Raw genomic sequence first — 26,264 nt, forward strand, 5'->3', positions numbered from 1 at the left:
CTCATATATACCCCGAGTTGCAAACCATCGCCCTAGGACCTTTATTATTCAAAATTATTCACATCACCTCCAAGCTTGTTGGAAATTCAGGGGCCTGCCCCTGGATGTGAATCTGCATTTTAGCAAGACCAATATGTAGATATATTAAAGGTTGCACAGCCCTGTCCTATGTGTTGGTCCCTCCTTGCAATTAAATTTAGCTTTTAGGGATAGGGAAACTCGCCCATGTGAAAATCGTTATTTAATTCCTTCAGTTCCCCAGAGGTGATCAAATTATGGCAGATGCTCACTGTATTGTTTGAGTAAGTTTAAGAAGTAAAAGTTCTAACTATGGAACTCTGAGCAACTGGAAGTTGAACAGGATGGAGTTTTTGATTAGGGAATAATTTTGATCCCTTGAAATTCCTGCACTCAGGCAAATGACTTCTTAGTCTTCCTATACTGTGCCTGTCCTTGCCAGGGCCCTTGGGGTCAGGAGTACAAGTCCTATGAGTTCCCCAGAGCCTGGCCTGCCCCAAAGTTTATGTTTTAGGCAAAAAAAAAATGACAGTATCATCATAGGTTCAAATTGAAAAACATAAGTAGGCCATGCGTGTTGGCTCACGCCTGTACCAGCACTTTGGGAGGCCAGGGTGGATAGATTACCTGGGCCCAGGAGTCTGAGACAAGCCTGGACAACATTGCAAAACCCTGTCTCCACTAAAAATTTTAAAAAGCAGCCACGTGCCTGTAGTCCCAGCTGCTTGGGAGGCTGAGGAGGGAGGATGGATTAAGCCCAGGAGGTAGAGGCTGTAGCAGTGAGCTGTGATCGTGTCACTGTATTGCAGCCTGCGTGACAGAGATGAAAGGAAAGGAAAGGAAAGAAAGAAAGGGAGGAAGGAAGGAAGAGAGGCAGGAAGGGAGGGAGGGAGAGGGAGAGAAGGAAGGAAAAATAAAAATAAAAACATGAGTATTCAAGCAAAGAACATGTATTTTAAAGACTTCTCAACTGACTAAAGTCTCAAACAGGAAAATACTTACCATAACAGCAGGCTGAAATTTCAAGTAAAAACTAAAGGGTAATTTTTTTTTTAGTGTGTATTGGAATGAATCAGCCAAAGGTGGGTTCAAATTAATGCCTGTAACCTTGATAAATTACTTACCCTAATTTTTTGTTTTCTTAACCAAAAAGAGCAGGGATGATAATATCTACAGCTGGAGTTGTTGAGCATTTTAATTAAGATATTATATAAGTTTTCTAGCCTCAGTTTCCCCAAATGGAAAATGAGGATAACAATTCTCACTTCAGGATTGTTATGGGTATATGACAATGTATACAAAGTGTTTAGCATGATCCTGGCACATAGGAAATGATTACTTAAGGAGAGTGACTTTTCTATATCACTAATGGCAGAAAGCATGGTGAGAGTGGTCATAATACCTGGAGCAGTAGTAGTGGTCATCAAATGTTGGTTTCCACTCCTTTATCTTATAGGGGCCAAATTTGGCAGAGAGCTTAAGTAATCTGTCTATACTTTTATTGAAATCTACTTTGAAATTCCACCAGGTTTCTCACCCAATGGGACTGGGTGGGGAAATGTCCAGATGTAAGACATTATCATCTAGTGGTGTGTGTGTTTGTGTGTCTGTGTGTGTGTGTGTGTGTGACAAAGAGAGAGACAGAGAGCACTTGAGTGTACTCTGTTATATTATACATGCCACTTCCTAAAGATTCTGATGTATGGCCAGGCACGGTGGCTCACGCCTGTAATCCCAGCACTTTGGGAGGCCGAGGTGGGCGGATCACCTGAGGTCAGGAGTTTGAGACCAGCCTAGCCAACATGGAGAAACCCCGTCTCTACTAAAAATACAAAAATTAGCTGGGTGTTGTGGTGTAATCCCACCTGTAATCCCAGCTACTCGGGAGGCTGAGGCAGGAGAATCGCTTGAACCAGGGAGGCAGAGGTTGCAATGAGCCGAGATTGCACCATTGCACTCCAGCCTGGGCAACAAGAGCAAGACTCCCTCTCAAAAAATAAAAATAAAAAATAAAAAAAGATCCTGATGTATTGTCAACATCCACTCTCTCCCCAGGAATTAATACACAGTTAAAAACTACCTGCCGTGCAGAATATAATTGAGTGCTAATAACATTATTGTTGGGCATACATTCATTTACATAAATATGAGGTATATTATTATCTCCATTTTACCTGATGAGGAGACTGTGAATGTGAAAGGTTATTTGTCCAAGATCACCAAAGTATCTGTAGCTAAATTAGGATTTGAACTCAGATTTATCTTCAAAGCCCAGGCCTGGCTCCTATGTCTTAATATACTCGCATAGAGGTGATGTAACAGGGGGGTGGTAGGGAGAGATGAAAATTACTTTTGCATCAGACTTTAATTCTCACAGATTACTCCAGAAAAGCAGATGTGAGCACGCTATACTTTGCTCTAAGGAACAGAGGCCACCTAGAGTTCCTAACTGGACTTTTATGCTTTAGACACTATATTACATCTATCACTTCATTCCATCATCACAAAGTCTGTAAATAGGGATTATTAACCCATTTTAGAGACCAAGAATATAAGATTAAATAATTTGCTCAGGGTCACACAGCTAATAAATGACAAGCTAGGAGTGAAGCCCAGGTCTTTTTGACTCCATAAATACATATTAAACTTTCCTAGAATCATTTTCTCATGCTTTGTTTTACAGACAATCTGGAATATTTGTAAAAGGCCAAAATATGTTTTCTGTATCAGAAGATTGGCTCAGATATTGTGTCTGTTAGCTTTCCTTCAATGCCCATTTACTCTCCTTTTTTTATTTTTTTTTTAAAAAAAAGAGGATTTCTGTTTTGTTATTGAACGTATAGCTGCTACAGGGAAAGAAATGAAAATATTGATTCAGATTTTCTTGGGGAGTGAAGGCAGAGGACATTCAGAGTACAGGATCTGCTCGGTTCCCTGGGCTGACAAGCTAAAACTGTGGATAAGAAAATGCCAGCTGTCTAGAAATAGTCTTTGAGGCTTGATTTTGGACGTTTTGTTAAAAACAACAACAACAACAAAACTGCTGAAAAGAAAGTCGTCACCGGCATGGATAATAGCTATAATTCCCAAACAGAAATCATTTCTATAGCTATTTTAAAAATTTGTCCCAGTTGAAATGTAAATGTCACAGGAAGGAGTCAAGGTTGTTTTGTAGGATCCCCCACAGCAAGGATATAGTTTTCCTCATACCTTTTTTTTTTTTTTTTTTGAGACAGAATCTCTTGCTCTGTCGCCCAAGCTGGAGTACAGTGGCACAATCTCAGCTCACTGCAACCTCTGCCTCCTGGGTTCAAGCAATTCTCCTGTCTCAGCCTCCCGAGTAGCTGACATTACAGGCGCACACCATCACGCCTGGCTAATTTTTATATTTTTAGTAGAGACGGGGTTTCACCATGTTGGCCAGGCTGGTCTCGAACTCCTGACCTCAAATGATCTGCCCAACCTCAGCCTCCCAAAGGGCTGGGATTACAGGTGTGAGCCACCGCGCCCAGCCAGTTTCCCTCATATCTTTATTCCCCAGGCCTCGTATACTCCCTGGCACATAATGAGTGTTTAGTCAACATGACTGAGTGAATTAATGAATGCTTGAATAAATGAACAGGTAGTAGAGAATGAATATATTGGATATCGTTATGAAAGCAAATTTTCATAGAAAAAGAGCATAAAGCCATAGGAACCCCCGCAGAAGACACGAAAAACAAACTCACTCCCTGCTTTTGCCCAGAGCAGGCTTACAGCTGGCTTCACTTTAGTTTATCCTAGATTTCTCTTAGGACATTGAAGACAGAAAAGATGTTTGTAACCTGAAGTGTCAGGGAACAAAGCCAGAAGGTGCAACATGCAGAAGAAAACATATTCAATGAGTTTCTGAATGCTATCCTGTTTTTCTCTTCAAACAGAAAGAAAAACTCTCTCTCTCTCGGCCCCCCACCCCCTACACTCCCCTTCTCCCTCTCTGTCTTTCCAGTCAAAGAGACTGCAGCGGATGGCATGCCTTAAGTGCCTGCATGTGCCGATCTGATCCGCCCAAGCTAAGTGGCCAAATAGGATACTCCAGGCAATACCCCCAAGCCCCCCTGCAGCTCAGTGAGAAAGACGATGCAGGAATACCTGTGCCTGCGTCGTGTGCCGCCACTAGGGGTCCCCAGCAGCAGGCGATGTGAACTGGGAATTGGGTAGCAGAGGCGGCCTCCCTTTGTCTGCACCCCAGGTGTGGACTCCTCTTTGTTCAGAGGCAGGGCCGCTACCTGCGGCGTCTGAGCTGCCTGCTCATTAACCCATCCTGGGCCGTCTGTGCACCTCCTGAGGAAACAGCGGGTTTCTCAGCTCCTGCCCCTAGTGACGCCTGCCTCAGAAGAGCCAATGCGTTCTCTTTCTCAGGACTAGGTGTCTTTGTATTTGAAATAAGGCTTAAACTACAGAGCGAAATATTTCTCACTACAGCAAAAGAGCATTTTGATGTTGAGAAATTGATGGCAAAAGGACCACTTTCAGGGTACGGTAGAGTACTTGCCATAAAATATTTAAAGCTAGTTGACGAATAGCCCTGCTATTCTCCTGTGAATGCCCACCACTGGATTAATCTTGAAAGTAAGGAATACAGTATTTCATTCTGTGTTTAGCACAGGGAAAGGGAATGACCTTCACTAAAAAACACTCCAGAATGCCTGCAGTGAGGGAGCACAGCTCCTGCTATGACAGCCACGTTCACCCTGCAGTGCTTTCTTGTCTGCTTTTAAACTTCAAAAGAATGGTGAAACAAAATAAACAAATTACACCACCATAAGAGCTACCCTGCAAACAATAAATCATGTGAATTGTAACAGCCGGTGAAGGAGGGTGGGGTGGGGATTGCAAATATTTACTCCATCAAGATTTTATTCTTATGTTTCACCGTTTCAGTCTTTTTTGATCACAGCAAAGGTAGTATCCTTACATGACCGTCAAGTTCTTTCTTTTGCTGCAGATGTGTTGTTACTCATTGTCTTGTAGCTCAGTGGTCACAGCTACTAACGTGGAAAGGAACTGGCATACAAGAGAACCATTTACAGATGTCCTTAATTTGCTCATTTACTCAATGAGTAAACAATTGAACAACATCCACTGAGCACCTATTGTATGCAAAGTATGGTAGACAATACAGGGGCTGGGCAAACAAGGATCCTGCCCCCACCATGCTTTTTTTTTTTTCCCTGAGACAGGGCCTCACTCTGTCTCCCAGGCTGGGGTGCAGTGGCATCAACAGAGCTCACTGCATCCTTGAACTTCTGGACTCAAGCAATTCTCCCCCCTCAGCCTCCCAAGTAGCTAGGACTACAGGTTAACTACAACGCCTGGCTAATTTATTTTTTATGTTTTTAGAGATGAGGCCTCATGTTGCTCAGGATGGTCTCAAACTCCTGGCCTCAAGGGATCCTCCCACCTCAACTTACTGAGTCACTGGGATTATAGGCATGAGCCACCAGGCCAAGCCCGCTATTAATGGACTAAGGTAATGAAATATATACCAAAAGTACCATTAAAATAAGACAGAGCATGAGATCTGCCCATTGAGAGGTACAGTAGATGGACTAGAGAAATCCAACAGAAGAAGAGTTATTTTCTGCCTTGGGAATCAGGGAAAACTTTCCAGAGAAGGTGCATTCTGGTTGAACCCTTTTGGTATGTAGGATGGGAAGCAGGAAGGAATGGCAGAATCCAGTGCTGCTAGCCCCAAGGGCATAGGCCACCATGAAAGAGGGTTGCCTTTGTGAAAGGGGGGAACAGAGATTAGATTGGAAAGGTAAGTTTGGAAGGCTTTGAATGCCAGGTGAAAGCTAAGTTAAAACAAAATGATAATTTTTATTCTTAAGAAGCCCACATTATCCACAAGACTCCGTTTATCCCATAAGTCTTTTAATATTTGAAGAAAAAAGGCAGAAATGTCTTTTAAAATTCTACTTTCCAAACAATTAAGATTTCTGTAGCACCAATATTCTTTCCACTGGCAAATAGGTATTACCTAGAATTAAGGCAACACATAAATGAATAAAATAGATGATAACTTTTTCATTGTTTCATTTGGAGAAATACTTTAGAAGGTCCACAAACAGGTCCCTGAGCCTACCAAAGAGGGATGTTAGCATTTTATTTCCAGCATGTCCTGATAACTTACTGATACTAAACATTTTTGCAAGGAGCAGCCAGCCTTCAGGCTCCTGAATCTAAGAAGGATGATAGTGAATGATTATTCATGTTGAGTTTTCTGCATTGGTTATGGCTTTATCAATCCAGATGATCAATCAACTTTCAGATTTTAGTTCTGAACCTGGAGCTTTCTGTTTGGTATTCAAAATAATGGGTGTCAAAGTTATAGCTCATATCACACCGACAGACTGGGCCTCCCCCATCAGCACTTCTCTGTTCAGCAAGCGTGTTTGTTGGCCTTGTATTCCTCTTCTGGCCCCAGGATCCAGGAAAACATGAGTCTCAGCTTTTTTCTACTTCTGTACAGCACAGGGCCTTCAGGTGGTGCCTTCACAGCAAATACCCCCGTCCCTTCATCTGTCAATTTAGGACAATAAAAATAATCTGCCTCACAGAGCCATGCTTTACTTTCTCCAGTTAAAACACTATGAAGGGAAATATGAGTATCCGAACTGCAGAAACATAATCTGTTGTCCTTTTGTGAAATTTCAGAGATGAATAATGAAACCTGTTACCCTATTGCACAATTTGGGACAAGAAATATAAGCCATAGATTGAAGATAAGACATTTCCCCCTAGTAGAACAGGTCACAGTTGATTAGTTATCTCCAGATGCAATGAAGAAAGCAAAAATTTTTCAAACTATACATTCCTTCCTTAAAGTGAGCAACTTACAATCACTTTGGAACACAAACTTCATGCCAGGTACACTGTAGCTTTCCACATAGCATCTTATTTAATCTTCACAGCATCCTGTGTTATCAGATTTTTGTGGCAGGTGTAGAAACTGAGGCTCAGTAGGTCTAAGTAATTTGCTCAAGTTCGCAGCTAAGTGACAGAACCAGAGTTTGAACCCAGTTGTCTTCGAAGCCCAGATGGTAAAATTCTACCGGGCGACATAGCCAAGTCAGATAGTCCACCATCTAAAGATCTGGGGGGCTACATAGATTACTAGTCAAACAAGTAAGTGCTGTTTTCTATCAGAAGAACTCTGGGGAAACAGTAAGTTCCTTCTGATCTGATCAACAAGCCAAGTGTGTGATGGGTCACGTGTCCCTGAAGGCTCCAGATTAGGAACTGCATCATTTCGTGCAGTCCACAAAATGAAGGATAGTGGTAGGGGCTGGGAAAATGCGGGCGCTTGGGTCTCCTTAGACCAGCCAGGGCTGTTTCAAGGTCCATACAGTTGAGGGGTAGGAAGACGCAGTCCCACGTGACTGAAGAGTGCTCACACTCCTTTAACAGTTTAGCAAGGTGTATTTTTAAAAAATGGACCTTAATGAGAAGACACACTGGGATAGTATCCTGGAGGGATTTTTTTTTTTAAGTTCTAATCAACTAGAAAATGTGACGTGGGTGCGTACTGTGATTATTTAACATTCATTATTCACTGTATGTTAGGTCCTTGGTTGATGTGGATCCCCAGGGCCTAGCTGCTGTTCTGTGTCACTCCTGATAATTTTTAAATTGACTATGTTCTTTTAACCATGTTTTAAAAAGTTGAACTACCCCAATGTGAACACTTTCCATTTTTGCTATATAATGAGAGTACTTTCATTCCTTTAATGTTTGCTTTTTCCTTTGATCTAACAATTTCTCTTCAAATTTCACAGTTTTCTGTTGCTTTAGGATTGAAAGAACCGATTAGCCCGCTGGGAGCGTGAAACAGACTTAAAAAAAATCTGCATGGTATTTCCTCCCAGTGAAATTAATTTAGGTTTAAATACAGGGGGAAGGGACACACCTTGTGCTCGAGTCTCTTTCTCTCACACACCTGAGCAGTTCCTATCCTGAAAGGGCACAGTCGGACCTGCTGCCAAGTCTTAAGTCTTTTGTGAGAATCTTTTTTTGCAAGGCACGGAGAACCTCTTTCTCTTTGACACCAGCTTTGTGTGGGCCTGATGACACGTTTGGACGGCTCTATTTCTTTGAAGGCCAACCTCAGAGGCCCACGGACGCGTCGGGCACTGTCCGTGGCTGGGTTACTTAAGTGTAGCTGGGTTGGCTTCCCGGGTGTTTTAGGAAACGCACCTTCTTGCAGGGCAGGGACCGTCAGCTCCAGAGCAACAAAGGACAATTTGGAGAGGAGTGGAAGGAGCGCTCCATAGTGGCTCTGTCATCCCAGGTTCCCTTCTGCCTAGCACCGTGGCCCTAGTGATCCCGCCTTCGCCCTCTGGATCCCCCACCCCCACTGTCTCGCTGCTCGAGAGCCCGGCGGGGCGCGGTGAGCCCCACCACCTTCCCCCACACCCTCCCTCCCCATCCCCTTCAAATCCTAGGAGCAGCGCTGCGCGCAGCAGCCGCGCTCGCCCCGCGCCCGGCCCCGGCCTCCCCAGCACCCCGGGGACCCGGTCCCCCGTCCCGCCTCCCCCTGTCCAGCAGTCCGCAGCCTCCCCCTCCAGCCCCAGTGGCGGGAGCTGTCAAGCCCGCAGCAGCCGAACCACCCCCCGAGCGACCGCGTCTCCTCTTCTTCCTTTGTGTGTGCGCGAGCGGAGTTGGGGCGGAGGGAGAAGGGGGAGGTCGCTCTGTCTGTCCGTCTCCCGCCGCCTCTGCCCGGTCTACTCGAAGTGCGGCGGGAGAGGCGGGAGCCCAGGAGAGGGTGCGGGAGCTGGCGGGGCGGCTCGGAGCTGCCAGGACGCCCTGGTCCCAGCCGCGCACAGGGGAGCGTGGACGGCAGAGGGGCTCGGCGGGAGCCGAGATCCGCCCGTCCCGGCTGCCCCTCGGCCTCCCTCTGCTCCCACCTACCCCCTGACACCCATAGAAAAGCGTGCAAAGGCGCGGAGCGGGACGGAAACCACAAATAAATAGCGGCGGCGGCAGCGCGTCATCTGGTGGAGCAGGAAGTGCAGGCAGAGTCCGGAGGCTGGTGCTTTCTGCGCGTCCCCAGGACTTTGCCATGGGCTGGGGGCCGCGGAGGCTGCGAGCGGCCGGGCGAGGGCAGCGGCGGCGGCGTCCGCACCGGGGCTGAGCGAGCAGCGACGCGAGGGGCGCGCGGAGATGGCAGCGTCCAGCAACTCCAGCCTGTCCGGCTCGTCGGTGTCCTCCGGTGAGTTTCAGCCCGTCGGGCGCTGCTGCCGCGCCGGGTCTCGCCCCACTGCCCTCGCCCCGCAGCCTGGGATGGACAGAGCCTACCTGTGGCCATCCCGCCCGCTCTCTCGGAATGGGGGCAGGCGTCCGGGGTGATACTTGTTTGGTTCGCCAGCACCTCGGTGCCCAGAGCACCTCCGCGCCTGACATCTGACAGCGCAGAGGTGGGAGAGCGGTGGTGCCCTTAGTGTGCGGACGCGGGTGTTCCGGGGCTTGGAGTGCAGCGAGCGAAAAGCGAAAGGAGCGGGCAGGCTCGCACTTTCTGGCGCAGCTGGAGCGGGGGCTGGCGGGGCGGAGAAGGTTGGGGTGAAGCAGAGCGCCCCGACCTGTTTGCCGTGCCGCGCCCGCTACCCTGGACACCCAAATCCGGAGCAGAGGGGAGCAAACCCTCGCTCCTCGCAGACTTGATTTTCTTTGTTTGTTTCAGAAATTAGCTCTATGGAGACACTCGCTTGGGCATGGGTTTTAGACAGCAGCAATGAAGGGATGTATCTTTCTGATCCTGATTGAAGTGGGTTAGGGGAAGAGAGGTCGAGCCCATCCTCTGACTCTTGGCACATTTACGAGAGAGAGAGAGAGAGAGAGAGAGAGAGAGAGAGTGTGTGTGTGTGTGTGTGTGAGAGAGAGAGAGAGAGAGACTCCTTAGAGATTTTCTGATAATAGTGGCTGTAATTTCACTAGCAAGGCATGCATTTTTTTTCCTTTTAAGAATGGTTGAGCAAAGGGAAGGCTTCTTTCAGCTTTTCTATGGTTGATCATCGGGTCTAATTGAAGAGAAAAAAATTGCTAATGAATCTGAAGGAGTAGGAATCAATAGAGGCAGACCCACTGGTTTCTGAGTATGACAGGTTTCTAATCAGAATGATGCATTAGGTAGAATTCCTGTACCTCTCTGGTCATTGAAAACTTTAATGACAAACCCAAAGGGATAGCTGATAAGACATTTAGGGTAGTATACAGTATTTAAGGGTCAAGAAGGTCATGAAGTCCTAATGGAAGTGCTTCAATATATTAATATTGTATTAAGTCCCATTGGGCTGTTTTTATTATTATTCGCGAATTAAACTCAAAGGAAGAAACACCTTTTTGGAGGCATTGGATAGCAAGCAGGGCAAAAAGGCAACCACAGCTTTAGATGTGTAACTCACTAAATCATAAATGCAAGGTGAATTTGACTAAGGTGCAATTGTGATGTGGCACAAGGTGATCACTTGAAAGCCATCTGTTATCTTTCTTGGCAGATTTACTTCCTGGGAAATGGCACTTCCTTTCTCGATCACTGCCAACTAATTGAAAACACGTTGTTGTTAGGTGTGTGATATAGTTCAAGTTTCTAGTAGTGGCAGCCAATGGGGCAGAAGTCATATCTTATTAAGAGCAGCAACAAGTTGACCGCCGTGGTTTTAATTCTGAGAACTCAGCAAATGCTACAGTTTATTTTTAGTACCCTCAAACCACTGCTGCTGTTTTTCAATTCATTTTGGTTGACTAACATTGAATTTAAAATACAGTGGTGTTGGCTTTCTATTAGCATATGGTTATCCCTCTCAGAAAACTGCCCACTAGAAAATGAACTGGTGGGGCAAAAGAAAAGACGAAAGGAGAAAGGACAAGGAGCTGGTGGTGTCACATGATTTACTGGTGGCATGAATTACAGCTGCTGTGGCATCTGAATTTCCAGATCTTGATGTAGCTTAAGAAACCTGATTGAAAATCCTAAGTCAGCCTTCGGAAGAATACGTTGGTTTGAAACAACACAGTATGAGATTTAGATGATGGTAATTGCTTTCAGATAGGTTAGAGATGCCCATGATAGTTCTTTTTCCTGCTTTATTTACCCCTATTTTTAATCCTAAGGGAAAATGGGAAATTATGTGAAAACTGAAATTCAAAAAGTGGGCATGGATGTATTGTTTGGCATGAATCAGCCTAGCCCATGAGTTTATACTGCCTAATTCCCCAATTAATCAGGCACTTTGTCTTGAAAAATACAGCATTGTAGTTCTCTTTTAAAGCACACTTACCATTGTGTGGATCATGAATAATTCAGATGACACAAGCAATTCACACCTGTGAGAGGTGTTGGGCAGAAAGAATAGAGTCTATTTGTGGTGGCAGCTGGGCTCTCTCAGGGGAAGGCCAGAATCTGAGAAATTAGGGCACTCCGTCAATGTATTAATCACTATTTTCAAGGGCCTACTATGTGCCAGGCAGTAAGTTATAAACCTCAGCTTCAAGAAGGCTAAGGGGGAAAGATAATTGTAGGATTCCCTCTAGCTCTGAAGTTCTGGGAGTATTGTCTTTTAATTCTGGCTTCATCACCGACCAGCTGGGTATCTTGGAGTGAGTTACTTAACTTCTCCAAGCCTCAATTTCCTCTTTTGTAAATGAGGCTGATACTGATGATAAGACCTACTTGGTAGAGTGTCTTGGGGATTGAATGAAATAATGTGTGTGGAGTATTTAGCACAGGGCCTAGCATTTAATAAATGCTTAATGTGAATAAATTTTACTTCTTTGAGGAATGAAAAAGAAGGCATTCACGGGCTCAGAATTTAGGTGGAGACATGAATCCAACACACAATCCACTTCTTTCATCACACGTTAAATTTGATCTTGAATTTTGGGCTTCATTAAATAAGCACGCGAGTGTTTTCCAGGTTTCAGGCATAGCCCTGAGTGTTTGGCATGGAAAGATGAGTCAAGATCCTTTTCCCTTATCCTCCAGCAGCCGAGACAAACATGCAAACAGCAACCTCTATTCCAGTTTGATAAAACAAATTCTGTGGAGAAGGGTGCAGAGGAGAGGAATTGACTTAGTCAAATTAGAGGGGTCAGTGGAAATGTCATATGAGTTGGGCCTTGAAAGCTGAGTAGAATTTTTCCGGAAAACAAATGGAGAAAAAGACATTTCAGGAAGAGAGAAGAGCTTAGGTAAAGGCCTGGAGATGGGTAAGTTCATGGCATTATTTTGACTTTCTTTCTTGGGAAAGTTATGCTTACAGGCCCATAAGCAGCATCATGCACAGAGCTGCCAGCTCACTCATTGCTGCTGCTGATGTAGGAGGTTTTCTTTCTGTTCAGGTAGCAGTGGGTTTGATGGAACAGCTCTGGAAGCCGTAGGACATTTGGGCAATTGAGCAGTGAAAAAGGAACAGTTAATTCTGTAGCATCCAGCATAGACAGAGGTGAAGTCAACATGGGTTATACCTCTCATAGAGGAATAGCTGCGGGAGATTTAGGTATGTTTGTGTTTGCAGAGTAAAGATCTAATAATTTGCTCAGCATTAAGGTCAAAGTTGCCTGATTTTCCTGAGAATTTGCTCTCACTAGCTGCTGTTAAACTACATCGCCCAAATGTGTCATTTATTCTATGGTACCAACTGAGACATAACAAATGAAATAATCAGGTTACAATTAATTTAAAAATACATTTTCTGAGAACTCTTCATGAATTTTCTTCTGGAATATTCAATTATGTGTAAAAGAAATTGCTTTACCTTTGTTTTAATAACTACTGGTAATTAAATTTCACAATCACCTAGATTGGCAGGAAGCTTTGATTACCTTTATTATTTTAAATTGCAAAAATAAAAAAAAGTTCTTATCCTTAAGCTTCTAATTTAGCCTGTGGTTCTTGGTTATATTCTGAGATAAACAACGGCCAATTTGCAAAATAGTCTTCTTAATAATCATGGGTTACATTTGCTTGTATAATTAAAATAAGAACTTTTTGCATATTAGCAATATGATTGCCAAATGGATAATTTCACAGTCAAGAAAAAAATCAACCCAAGCAAATCAATAAATAAAGAAGATATGAGATGTTCTCAGTAACTGAAAAGGGTAAAACATTAAATATTAAAGGAACCCTGGGGATAAGAAGTTAAGATTTGGAAACGTAAACCCACTGTATTATCAAAATAAAGTTGACACAGACTTTTAAAATTAAAATGCAAACAGAAAAAGATAACAAGTCAGTATTAGGTGCAGTCTTCAAAACCTTAATTGGGAAAAGAACATTCCTGAATGGATTGAGGTATTTATTTCTTTAAATTCTATACAACAGTATTGTGGGCCAGGTAAATCATGCTGTTTTCTGCTATCACACTGATGTTGATGTAGAAATGATAAATAGGAATTTTCATTACTCATTATTGGGGAGTCAAAACCAGTAACGTAGATAAGTCTTCCATATTTCTAGATGCAGGTGGCAAAACTGAACTATAGTAATTCTGGCAAGACTTATGTATGTCTAACTAGAAATTCTCTGCATCCAATACTACAAAACAGGGTATCTTACTGAAACAGACATTCTCACTGAGAAGTTTTCTTTTGGACCTTTGGATTTTTCAGAAATTTTCTTCTGGAATATTCAATTATGTCTAAAAAATTGCTTTGCGTTTATTTTAATGATAACTGCTCGATAATTAAATTTCACATCACCTAGACTGGCAGAAAGACTTGATTGCCTTTTTTATTTTAAATCACACGTGCACAAATTGTGATTTAAAATATAATCTCAAATAAAAAACTTGCAAAGCTAAAATTAACCCTGTGAGAGAAATTATTTACTCAGATGAGGAGTACTAGTCCTTGTTGTTTTTCTCCTGAGCATTCCATACCTCATTTTAACTTATTAGATTTTATTGTCCATTGTAGCAACTCAGATGAACTGAGTGATACAGAGTCTGAGAGGTAAGGAGATTTTTCTTAGCATGCTACATATTTGCAGTGTTTGACAAGGGGGACCCAGTGATTTGTGAACTTGTGCTGAAATGCTGGTTCTCCCCACTGACCCCATGAAGTGCACTGGGTGACCCTGTCATTTGCCCAACTTTTGGGGAATGTGAACACCAGGTATTTTCAACGGCCAGTCTGTGCAGGGTTTAGCTGGACAGTGTGTTCTGAGAGCTGCCACCTGGGGCCTGGCCTGAGTGTCAGCCGTGCTGAGGGCCATCTGCTGCTCGGCAGGGTCTCCCATTTTTGCACAATGGTGGAAGCAACTGGACATTTGGTTTGGAGCACCTATACATGAGCAGTGTCACATAGGAATGTTTTGGAAGAGTTTTCTGCCAGAAGATCAAGATTCCTGTCAAGGCAAACACAGAGAAAAAGACATGAACCTAGTGATAGACAGACATATGATTAATAGCATCCCCTATCACCCACCAATCATTTATCTTTTATGAATGTATGTATTCTCATTTCATGGCTTCTGAAATATGTCATTTAATTTTCAAAACAAAATGGCTTTTTCCCCCTCCTTCCCTCTCTTCTTTCCTTCCTTTCTCCATTCTTCCCCTCCCCCTCCCTCTTTTCTTCCCTCCCTACCTTCCCTCCTCCCTCCCTCTATCCACCTTCTTCTCCTTCCTTCCTTCTTTCCTTCCTTCCTTCTTTCCTTCCTTCCTTCCCTCCCTTCGCCCCTTCCCCCCTCCCCCCTTCCCCCCCCCTTTTGTCTCTTTTTCTTCTCTCATCTGTTGTTGGTCAGATTTCTATTTAGAGATGTTTTCATCAATCCCACATTTGGTTTTCTTTACTGTTCGTAGTTTGCAAATCCTCTAGGCACCTTCCTGCTTTTCCTTCCCTTTGGCCCATGGGGAAGGAAGCTGGTATTCTGTCTCTCACATGGATTCAGGTTAGGGGGTCAAGATGGATACCTGTGTCTCTGGTGCAGGCTGGTTGGTGTGACAGAACACAATGATGTGTCTCCAAGCTACAAACAAATGCAGAGGTTCATTTAAAGTCTCCATGGCTAGAGGAAACGGCAGTCAGAGATGGGCCGGCCCTATAGGTAGGGTGCTCTGCAATGGAACCTAGGTGGCTGTCCTCTGGGGCCTGAAGCTGAAGAATTGGGATGAGTGTATCATCAACTGGCCACTAACCTTTCAGCTGTGCATTCTGGGAGGGCCAGCCACTAGCTGTTTGTGCAAATACCCTGCCTTTCTCCTCATTTATAATTAATTGTACACCTTTGTGAGACTAATCTGAATATAGTCTCTATAGTTTGGACTAATTTTAGCATTCCTTTGCTTCAACAGTTTGGCCTGTCAAAATCACTCAACCTCAGCCTGTTTGTACTGCAGTGTAAAGTATTATTTTAAATCAACCAGTAGTTTTAATCTCCTAAGAAATAAGAGCTGGACTGACTAGACTGAGAGCAAGGAGGAACCTTGGTAGTTGTTTCACAGATTCCAACATTGTATAAGAAAATCAGAGCCCAAGGAACTCAGAAACTGTCTCATGCCACTCAGTTACTTGACAGCAGAGCTAGAGCTGGAACTGTCATCTAGGACCCAAGCTCCTGTGACATTAATGCTCCCCCCACCCACTTCCTGGCTCATCCTAAAGAGTAGCATCATCCTTAGAGAATTTCTTGTAGACTTTTTTTTTTTTCTCTCTGGCCTCATAGAGGCTGCTCTATTTAATTACTTAATACTTTCAAAAAAGAAGTCATAAAGCGCTTTATATTTTAAATGGGCCTCAGATCTCCAGGCTGTTGTACCCATAAAGGCACAAAGATTTAAGTGGCTTAGGTCTGCCCTGTGTATAGCTGTGTTGTCCAGTATGGTAACCATTAGTCACATGTGGCTATTTAAATTTAAGTGTAAAAATATTCAGTTCCTCAGTTACCCTAGGCATCTTTCTAGTGCTCAATAGCACACATGGCCAGTGGCTACCATATTGGACTACACAGACACAAAACATTTTTATCATTTTTTACAGGAAATTCTCTAAGACAGAGACAAAACTAATGTAAAATCAACAAGCTAAAAAGAGAAAATCTGATCCAGAGCGCTCCCATTGCTGTGTGTGCTGCTTGTGCTGTTTAGGTTATCTTTTACTAATTTTGCAAATTGACTTTTTAAAAAAGTAATTTCTTTATGACCCCGAGGGAAACTGTGGAATGACAGCTGGAGGATGATATTGGGGAGGGTAATTGAAAATGTTTATAAACTCTGTAGTCCTGAGGTATGATTCAAGCTTTATTTAAAAAGTGGTTTGTTGTTTCCCTAATGGCAACTCAATTTCTTTTTCAAATAAACCCACAGTGAGTTCTGATTTCACCCTCAAAGAGGAAAAAGTGCCCATGTTCAAAAAGTTTGGATCTTACCATTGAATCTCCTTTAAAGACATCGTAAGGAAAACTGTGAATGTGTGGACTGAGGTTGCTAGTGGCATATACAAGCCGTGTTATTTAAAAGAGATTTTCTACCAACCTGGCCATCAGCAGCTAGCTAGAAGGATTTTTACTTCTACAAAAAGCCCACATCAGGGCAAAGCAAATGCATTGGTTTTTAGAAAATAAAGTTAGCTTTTGGAATTTTCAGCACATTTAATTGGGGGGAAATGCATGCAAATAAGATGCAGGAATATGACAGTTTCTAAGAAAAGGAAACAGTTCTCCTTGAACTTCTGTTACCATCCTCAAGTGCAACAAAATGGGAAGGTGGAAGGTGTCTTTAAAGTGTCAAGTTAACTGTCAAGAAAGAGGTGAATGTTGAGGCCATTGGATTCAGAAACTATAATAACCAAAAGACTGTGACATGGTGGCTTATTATTTATTGACATAACTTAGATCATTGATTTAGGGCAATATGAATCACAGAAGCACTTGGGTGATAACCTTATGCAATTCTTTTCTCATCGGAGGCCCAGTTCCTGGATTTTATCGGGCCCCATCATTGCCCTCTGCACCCTCAGTACTGGCTGGGTATTGTCCTTTTCAAGGAAGTGAAACCTAGCGCTTCCTTATTACTTCACATAATGCCATATTAGCAATGTGAAATGCTTTTTCTTACATGATGTTGCTTCCATGAAATAAGCCCAAGAGACTGTTGGGACAGCAAAGAAATGGGAAGCAGGGAGCGTGGCTGTTGCAGTAGATCTCCTGCAGCATGTGTCAGAGGCTGGGGTGTGCCATTGACCTCTAAGGGCCTGATTCTCAAGACCTAGACCTGCACAGTCCAGTGTGACAGCCACATGTGGTTACTGAGCCGTTGAAACATGGCTAGTCTGAATTGAGATGTGCTACAAGTGTAAAATTCACACTAGAGTTCAAACGCTTAGTACAAAGCCAAAAAATATAAAATATCTGACTCATAACCTTTGAAATATTGAATATATGTTTAGGTGATAATATTTTGGATCTAGGCCTGGCACGGTGGCTCACGCCTGTAATCCCAGCACTTTGGGAGGCCAAGGCGGGTGGATCACCTGAGGTCAGGAGTTTGAGATCAGCCTGACCATCATGGTGAAACCTGGTCTCTACTAAAAATACAAAAAGTAGCTGGGCATGGTGGCGCATACCTGTAATCCCAGCTATTCAGGAGGCTGAGGCACAAGAATCGCTTGAATCCGGGAGAAAGAGGTTGTAGTGAGCAGAGATTGCGCCATTGCATTCCAGCCTGGGCAACATGAGTGAAACTCCGTCTCAAAAAAAAAAAAAAAAAAAAAAAAAGGATCTATTAAGCTAAATATAATATATTTACAAAATTAATTTTACCTGTTTTTTAAAAATGTGTTTAAGGTAACTACTAGAATATTTGAAGTTACATGCGTGGCTTACATTATATTTGTATTGGACAGCTGTGGTCTGGATGACTCCAGTGAGAATGTTCTAACCTTGATCGCAGAATCTGCCATACAAAACCTGCTGATGCACTGCTCAGTGGCTCCTGTAGCCCTGTCTACTTATCCTCCATTCACCAAGGCAGAAACTTACCAAGGCAACTCAGCCCTGATTCTCAGGTCCCTGTTTGGTTTTAGTCCCAGACATTGAGAGATGTCCTTAATTTTTCTGAATCTTTATAGTGACTTTCAAGTGAAGTTCTATAAAGAGGAACAGGTTGGGACATTTGTCACATTCTTGTTTAGACAGATTTTGTGTTTTGTTTTGTTTGGGCTTCAGTTTAATTCTAGACTTCATGTATTTTTGTTAGATTTATGTATACGCCTCCTTCCAAAGAAAGCCTGCAATGCTATGAAGTTGGAAAGAGAAGCTGAGGAAACAAAGCACACGTTTTTCTCTCTCTCTGTGTGTGTGTGTGTGTGTGTGTGTGTGTGTGTGTGTGTGTGTGTGTGTAGAAAACTCTTGCCTCATAGCCTTTGTACCGTGATGTCCTGCCATGGATAAGTATGTGGGTTTACATACACATCCACACATATCTGTATTTCTGTATGTGTGTGTATATATGTATACACAGAAAGTGGAAGTGGATTAGGTTCCAATTATTTCCAGTCAAATTTATATCGTATATAAGTTAATATCAAGGGAAATGAAAAGTCAGTTCTAGCATTACTTTTAGTAATGAAATAATTCACTTGGGATTATGCTAATGATATGTAGATATTAATACACATAATTTGGCTGCCTAATATTGATTTAAGTTGCTCATTCAAATTCTCTTTATTACAAAAAAATAACCATTTTGTTTTACAGTGCTTGTCCTCAGAGACAGTGAGATCCAGTAAACCATACTTATTTGGTAAATAATACTATTTTTGCTGATTTTCATATACACAGAGAGCACTATTCTCTTTCAGTAGGTACCCTTTGAGTTGTTAATTTCTGGTTGGGGTCCTGGTTAGCTCTAGCCAAATATCCTCTCTGGATCTGCCTCATGATCAATGCCTAGGGTTGAAGGTACTCCCGGTGACCAGGGCACAGAAGTTTTTGTTCTCTGTGATGTTAATATGCCCTAGGGTTGAACTTTGGTCTCAGGAGAGCCCGAGTCCTATGCTTGCTTTAAGCAGCCAAACTAATCCACATGCCTTTTTTCGGAATATGAATTCTTCAGTGGAAAAAGCAATTGACAGAAGCTTTGTAAACTCTCCTGAAATAATTAATATCAGATTAAGATTAGAAATAGAATCACAGCAAATCCTAGGCAATTACACATGTAAGACATGATTTTGAGTTAAACGATGTCATCTGGGTTAAGAACATAGTAATTGCCACAGTACTTATTTGGTTCCGCATTCTAAAGTAATAGCAGTAAGGGTATTTTGTAAAAATGCACAACAGCCTTTCAGGGAGGAAATGCCCTGCAGACATCTTACTTTTCATAAATAGCTGAGTGTAAATCTGTCATTCAGGAGTTAATGTAAACATGTCTGAATCCATCTGTAGTTTCAGCTTGTGCTCCTTCTTACAGGAATGAGTTTCAGCCATTTTCTACCTATAGAGCGAATTGGTGTTTCTTCCTATTGCTTTAAATTTAACTCTCTGAAACTTATTTTTAGCATCCATTTTTGGGTTTCATGAATTAATGTGGGTTCATTGGAACCACACAGTCCAAGGGTGGCGTTGTGTTATAAGCTCTAGGAAGCTGGGGATCTGGTCCAAACACCAGCACCAAATAGCTCTCAGAGTTTCTATTTTCTTATCCGTAAAATGGGCTAATAATACTAGTTGTTAGAATCGAATGTGTGAATGGCTGTGAAAAAACTTGAAAATTTGTGAACAAAACCTAAAAATCCCTGATCTCATAAAGCTCATATTCTAATAAGATGCACCACAGGTTCCTTTCCTGAGTGGTAAGTGACCACTCAGAACTCGTGATCTTCTAAGGTAACTGGAAAAGTTTCTCCTAAATACCTTACCTTGCTTTTCTTCATCAGCCTTTCAAATCCTTGGAGTGTAATCGTGCCAACTTAGAGTTTCTCTACTCTATGTAAAGCTCCAATATGCATCCTGCAGTCCCAACATTTTAAATTAGCTCAGTCAATCCAAGGAACACCACTGTTTATACTTTCCCATCTAGAGGAATGGTTCTTTATTATGTAAAAAAAAATTATACACATTTTACGTAAGATGCAATATATACAAAAAAAATCAGTAATAGCGTAGCCACATAATTATTAGGAAAGCCACCACCCAATTTAGGAACATTACCTAGCCTTGTGTCTTCCTCTGTATTCCTCTCTCTTTCCTTCCCCATCATATTTCATTCCCTCCTTCCAAAGGTAACCACTACTCTGAATTTTCACCTTATTCCCTTGCTTTTCTTTTTAAAATAATTTTATCATGTATCACTAAAATACCGGCTTCACAAGGGCAGCTATTTTTGTTTTGTTCACTGCTGGATCTCCAGTGCCTAGCACAGTGTCTGACATATACAAGCACTCAGTTACTGTCATAGGAGTGCAACTGTAGCCCCTTCCCTCCTTTATCTCTTGTTTGTAAATCAGTTCTGCAAGGACCCTGTCACCAGTTCACATTAGTCACAGGCCTTCAGTAACTTTTAGAAAAAAATTTTTTTCCCCCAAGATGGAAAAAACTCTATCGCCCAGGCTGGAGTGCAGTGGCATGATCTTAGCTCACTGCACCCTGCGCTTCCTGGGTTCAAGGATTTCTCCTGCCTCAGCCTCCTGAGTAGCTGGGATTACAGGTGCGTGCCACCACACCCAGCTAATTTTTGTATTTTTAGTAGAGACAAGGTTTCACCATGTTGGCCAGGCTGGTCTCAAACTCCTGACCTCGTGATCCACCTGCATCGGCCTCCCAGAGTGCTGGGATTACAAGTGTGAGCCACCGCGCCTGGCCTAGAAATTTTTTTTTTAACTTATTTGCATGTACTTGCAACAGGAGACTCTGAGCAGAATCACATGAATTTATCTGAATCAGGACTTTTTACCTTGATTTGTGGTTCACAAGCACATTTCAGGAGTGAATAGTGAACACTGAAGAAACATAAGTAGTAAAGCTAGAGTTCAACATGGAGAGCCACAGGGAGATTCTCAAAAAGCGATGCTGTATACATGCTACACCAGGGATGAGCCTGGAAAACAGTATGTTAAGTGAAAGAAGTGAAAGACTGCATACTATATGATTCCACGCATATGGAACACTCAAGATAGGCAAATCCTAGAGACAGAAAGTAGATGAGTTGTCCCCTGCGGCTGAGAGGTTTGGAGTGAAATGGGGAGTGACTGCTAATAGGTATGAGTTCTTTTTGTGGTAACGAAATTGTTCTAAATTTGATTGTGGTAATACTTAATAGTTACACATATCTGTGAATAAACTAAAAGTCATTGAATTGTTTGCTTTTAAACAGGTAAATTGTAGGGTGTGCGATTTATAGCTCAATAAAGCCATTACTTTAAGAAAGCATAGAAATTGATATTGTAAGAAAGAGAAGGTGAATCAGTCATAACGTGAGCAAACAGAAAATACAAACCCATAGGTTAAGGCCTTCCTGGACAGGATGCTTGCAATCAGATGGGAGGCATTTCAATCCCTACTCACTGATAACTTGCTCAATACATGGGGGTGCCCCTTCTCTTCCCCTTTTCATTTCCACATTCATCTTTTTCTGCAGCCAGCCCCTGACCTTCTCAGATAGTTCCATAGAGACTTGCTCTCTAGGGCTGGTTAGTTCAGCCTCCACTAGATAAATGCCTCCCTTCCCCAGTATCCCCAAAAGGCCATGGCACCCTCCTTCTCACTGAAGAATGAGGGAGAGCAGTAGGTCCCCTCTGCTAATGCTGGACAAAGCAATTAGTGCATTTCTTATGACTAGTTAATTAGCTTTTTATCCAGCTTTTTAAACTCTGGCCACAACTCTATGGCCTCGAAGTAGAGTGTGAGTCATCCAGGAAGCAAGTTTCTCTACTGTGTGCCTGATGCTCCTGAGTATTATTCGCACAGTGATGTGTCTGTGGCTGCCTCCATATGCCCCCACTTAGATGGATGCTTGTACAGACGTTTCCAAGGATATCATCTGCTGGCTCTTTTGTTGTTTCTAATCAAAGAACCGACACCCTTTGATCACAACAGATCACGGTATTGTACTACAAAGACTTTGTTAGAAAGACTTAAATTTTACACGCTTGTAGCTGTCACAGAGGTTCTGACAGTATTTACTTTTACCCCACACAAGTAAAGAAAAAATGCATTTGATCAGATCACATGGAAAATATGAGTGATTATAAATAGTAAATTTTCTAGAACCATGTATTGTTCACTGTAAGGAACCTAGTCAATGAACATTTTTTAATACTTGCTGGTTTTGAGTGCCAGGTTGTTGCAAAAGTCCTCTTCTTCCTCCCAAGTATAGAGACTCCTCTAGGTAGATAAACTTTCTGTTAATTGGAGGAAGATTGGCCCTGTCATGGAATTAATGAAGCTAAAGACAGACGTCTTTGGGGAACTGAGTCCCTGGGTAGCCACTTTTTGGGCAGGCTTCAGTATCCAATGGCCTGCGTGAATGTATAGGATGGCTGGCTCCCCTTCAAGTTGTTCATGGCCTTTCCTCCTTTTTCCCATAGGACACCTGAGACAGGCACCCCCACAAAATACAAATAAATGCCCCTTCACGGGAGTGTGAAGACAAAGCAAGTACTAGAACTTCTTCCTTAAGGTCTCATTCAGAGTGTTTTCCTGGCAACCCCTAGAGGAAGTGGGCACGGGCTACAGTGACTCTGTTGTTCTGTGTCTTCCCTCAGGTGAAATCTGGCCACCCTGGGCACCCTATGACAGCAGCACACGTGGGGATGATATTGTGCCTTGCGCTGGCCTCTGCGGTTCCCCTGACATATCAGATTTTAGACTTTGCTCCTCCTGCTTTCTAATGTCACGGGCTAAGCCATCTCTAACAAAAGACTCACTGTTCCTGGGACCTGCTGTTCACTCAAACTTTTCTCATGCTAACACCAACACATATAACACATTCACACCTCCTCACATCCTGACCAGACCATTCCAGGATGCAATTATTGTAAGGATTAGGACGTTTCACCGCAAATACAGAAAACTCTAAAACAAAGTGCTGAGGTACCGTGGTTGTAGACACTGCAGTATCTGGCTCTGTCTCCTTCTCTTAGCGCTGCCCTCTTGGTCGGGGGGCCTTGTCCTCAGCCTCACTGTCTTTACAGGGTCAAGATGACAATAGCAGTCCCCTGGGATCATATCTGAAACAGAGAAGGGGAAATCTCTTCCTCCTCACCCTGTGGAAGATAAAAAAGACTTTCTCAGACACACCTGCCCCACCCCCACCCCCCAGCAAAGTTCCCCTTGCCTCATTGGCTACAGCTTTGTCATATGCTTAGGTGTGAACCAATCACTGGCAAGGGAATAGGATTCCCTGGATGTACTTAGTCCAGTTGTGACCCCCTTCCTGGAGTGCAGATGGTCCAGCCTCTCCTGAAGGGGTGAGGAGGCCTGAACGGAACAGGGTTCTGTTAAGGGGGAAGAGGGAACCAAGAACATCCGCCACAATTATGTCATGAATGTCCTCAGCCCTTAGAGTCTCTAAGGCCACCAACAAAACACTGAGAATTCCAAGACGCATGGCCTCTCATAGTCAAAAAGCTTATTATAGTCTTAGTTGAGAGCCAAGCAATTAGTGCAACTATTCACTTAGTAATAATATCACTCCCTGAAAAAAATGTTCTGCTAACCTACTACATTAAGATGACTGACAACTCATATGTTGTTTTCACTTGTTAGTGCTTTATGGTTTGAAGCACTTTGTTTTATGGTTATGAAAAAAATATAAATCCATTAATTTAAAACTGGATAGAGTCTTTAGCTCTAATGAGAAGTAGGACAGTGAGGGTTGAAGGTTTTGATTCTTGACAGGCTTTAACATCCCTGCGCCTGATGTAAGTTGGAACTATATTATTAGAAAGGCAGGGAATAATAGTAGATGATTCAGCCCACTGCCGCTTGCTATGGGAGGGAATTTTTAAGGCTTTCATTTATGAGAAATAGTGATCATTAGCAGTTCTTTGTTTTTAAAACAGAGATTCCTACAAACGGTCAAGTCCAGTGGAATAAATGTATTGGTGCCTAATTGGAGAAATAATTTCAGGTTATTCCCAAGGAAAAGGGAACAGGCAGAGGGTTTTGGAGAGCAGATTCCTGTTTTTCAGTTTTGTGATGGGCCAGGGTGCGTAAAGATCACTGGATGAGGGGTCACGTGACCTAAGTCTATGGTAGTTCTTTCTCAGCATTTACTTTTTGTGTGTCCAGGGGCAAATTATGTTATCATTTTGTGACTTTGATGCTTATGTGTAGAATTATTAGTTTGGCCCAGATCATCTCTGAGGGTCTTAAAATTTTATGATTTTTCTGATCTGCCTGTTTCCTCTTGCCAATTTATGGTGCCTTGGTGGTCCCCCAAGGGAACAACCCTCTTGTGTGTAAATCAGTTACACTCACATATACACATATTTCAAATAGCAATTACCAGTGGCATCATTTGTTCCAGGCACCCAGCCTGTAAGACATGAGGACTGTTGGGTGTCTGTACCGTAATTGCTTTTCAGTCTTCACTCTTAGTAAGCCCAGAGGTAGTCCAAGTATGCTCCAAGGCGGTATCATACAAGCCTTTTGGAATGTGACCTACACTATGAAACCCAGCACGTACACACACAGGCACACACACACACCCCACACACACACCGTGCACACACCAATACTTCATTCCATATGTACTTATTATTTACCATGTTCCAGATTTTAGAGATACTGCAATGAACAAAACAGACAAAAATTCTGGACCTTGTGGAATTTCTAAATACAGACAGACAATAAACCAAAGGAACTATATATAATTTGTATATATAAATGTGTATCTTATATATATAATTATATCTAATTATTAATTTATATGGTATATTAGAGGGTGATAAGTTCTATGGAGAAAAATAAAGCAGGAAGGGAGACAGGAAATGCTGGGGGTAAGGGGGTCTGAGTGTTAAGTTTAGTGGTCAGAGAAGGCTTTACTGAGAAGGTGACACTTGATGGTGAGGGAGCCAGCCATGCAGATATTTGGAGAAAGTACATTCCAGACAGAAGGAACCGCAGCTGCAGAGTCCCAATGCGAGAGTGTACCTGGTGTGTTCCAGGAACAGAAACAAGGCCAGTAGAGTGAGAAAGGGGTAAATAGGACTGGCAGGGAGGAGGAGGCGGATCATGGAGGGCCTCGTAGGCCGCCCTAAGGACTTTGGCTTTTACACTGAGATAGGTTGTCCCTGGAGGGTTCTAGAAGACAGTGGCATGATCTGACTTAGGTGTTTTGTTTTTTTTTTTGTTGTTGTTGTTGTTGTTGAGACGGAGTCTCGCTCTATCGCCCAGGCTGGAGTGCAGTGGCGCGATCTCGGCTCACTGCAAGCTCCGCCTCCCGGGTTCACGCCATTCTCCTGCCTCAGCCTCCTGAGGAGCTGGGACTAAAGGCGCCTGCCACCATGCCCAGCTAATTTTTTGTATTTTTTTTTTTTTAGTAGAGATGGGGTTTCACCATGTTAGCCGGGATGGTCTCGATCTCCTGACCTCGTGATCCGCCTGCCTCAGCCTCCCAAAGTGCTGGGATTACAGGCGTGAGCCACCGCGCCCGGCCCTGACTGAGGTTTTAACAGATCCATTCTGGCTATTATGTTGAGATTAGACTAAACACAAATGCTGCATGTTGGCACACACACACACACACACACACACACACACACACACACACACAGAAACAGAAGTTCCACAAAGAGAGTTCATCCTGTTATATATGATGTGCTCTGAGACTGTCTTTTCTATTGTATTTCTCTTCATTTATCTAAAAACTATCAGGGCCCACAAGTTGATTTCAGAATCCACTCTAGAGTGGTGATGGGCACTTTGGAAAACAGATTAGAAATTGGTCCAGAACTCCAAAGATGTAGCAGATTCAGTTAGCCTGCTCAAGGCATGGTTGCGGTATACAGAACACCCTATAGGCCCATAGTACTATTTAATCATAATGTTCAAGGAGATTTTGTTAATTTTTTTAACTTGCTACACTGCGTAGCACTATTTTATTGAATGATCATTTAAAAGTTTCGTCTTTCCCTACAGTGGGCTTTTATTACAAATGTATATTTTAATAACTTTTTATAAAGAACATTTCAAATATATTTAGAGTAAAGAGAAAACTATAACGAACCTCTTACCATCCAACTTCAACAATGATCGCATCATA

At 42.8% G+C, this 26,264-nt stretch overlaps 2 protein-coding genes and 1 long non-coding RNA gene across 25 annotated transcripts in view, besides 2 other annotated features; 1 reads left to right on the forward strand and 2 right to left on the reverse strand.

The window, feature by feature from the left end:
• Positions 1-9,732, reverse strand: part of CPVL (carboxypeptidase vitellogenic like) — a 200,816-nt gene extending 191,084 nt beyond the window's left edge. For 5 of the 15 annotated variants that reach the window (NM_001371261.1, NM_001371264.1, NM_001371260.1 and 2 more), the window contains exons 1-2: positions 9,358-9,548; positions 728-828 (exon numbers count right to left, since the gene is read on the reverse strand). The gene's annotated coding sequence lies outside the window, so the exon portion shown is untranslated. Of the gene's footprint in view, positions 1-727; positions 829-4,149; positions 4,339-9,357 lie in introns of those variants that run through there. The other 10 variants (NM_001371268.1, NM_001371258.1, NM_001371256.1 and 7 more) reach the window with 3 other exon arrangements.
• The window catches only part of CHN2 (chimerin 2), a 367,738-nt gene that overhangs the window by 39,129 nt on the left and 302,345 nt on the right, over positions 1-26,264 (forward strand). For 5 of the 9 annotated variants that reach the window (XM_017011722.2, XM_011515107.3, NM_001293070.2 and 2 more), the window contains exon 1: positions 9,056-9,271. The exons of 3 other annotated variants lie outside the window; for them this stretch is intronic. In XM_017011722.2, coding sequence (XP_016867211.1) covers positions 9,223-9,271 — 49 coding nt within the window. In that variant the 5' untranslated portion in view covers positions 9,056-9,222. Of the gene's footprint in view, positions 1-9,055; positions 9,272-12,021; positions 12,265-26,264 lie in introns of those variants that run through there. One more of the 9 variants, NM_001293072.2, reaches the window with a different exon arrangement.
• Positions 4,098-4,247: an enhancer, noted in NCBI's record as "active region_25801". NCBI's record gives its function as "activates an Ori minimal core promoter by ATAC-STARR-seq in GM12878 lymphoblastoid cells {active_cell/tissue: GM12878}" and the evidence as "EXISTENCE:reporter gene assay evidence [ECO:0000049][PMID:35858748]".
• Positions 9,709-10,344: an enhancer, noted in NCBI's record as "H3K4me1 hESC enhancer chr7:29235044-29235679 (GRCh37/hg19 assembly coordinates)". NCBI's record gives its function as "activates a minimal SCP1, AML or CMV promoter by ChIP-STARR-seq in naive H9 embryonic stem cells {active_cell/tissue: H9 hESC(naive)}" and the evidence as "EXISTENCE:reporter gene assay evidence [ECO:0000049][PMID:30033119]".
• Positions 13,321-23,251, reverse strand: CHN2-AS1 (CHN2 antisense RNA 1). The gene is made up of 3 exons (NR_120522.1): positions 23,094-23,251; positions 14,973-15,028; positions 13,321-14,404 (listed from the first exon to the last, which is right to left on the reverse strand). It is a non-coding gene; the product is annotated as a CHN2 antisense RNA 1 (long non-coding RNA).

This window comes from Homo sapiens, chromosome 7 (assembly GCF_000001405.40).
Source record: "Homo sapiens chromosome 7, GRCh38.p14 Primary Assembly".
NCBI classification, from domain to species: domain Eukaryota; kingdom Metazoa; phylum Chordata; class Mammalia; order Primates; family Hominidae; genus Homo; species Homo sapiens.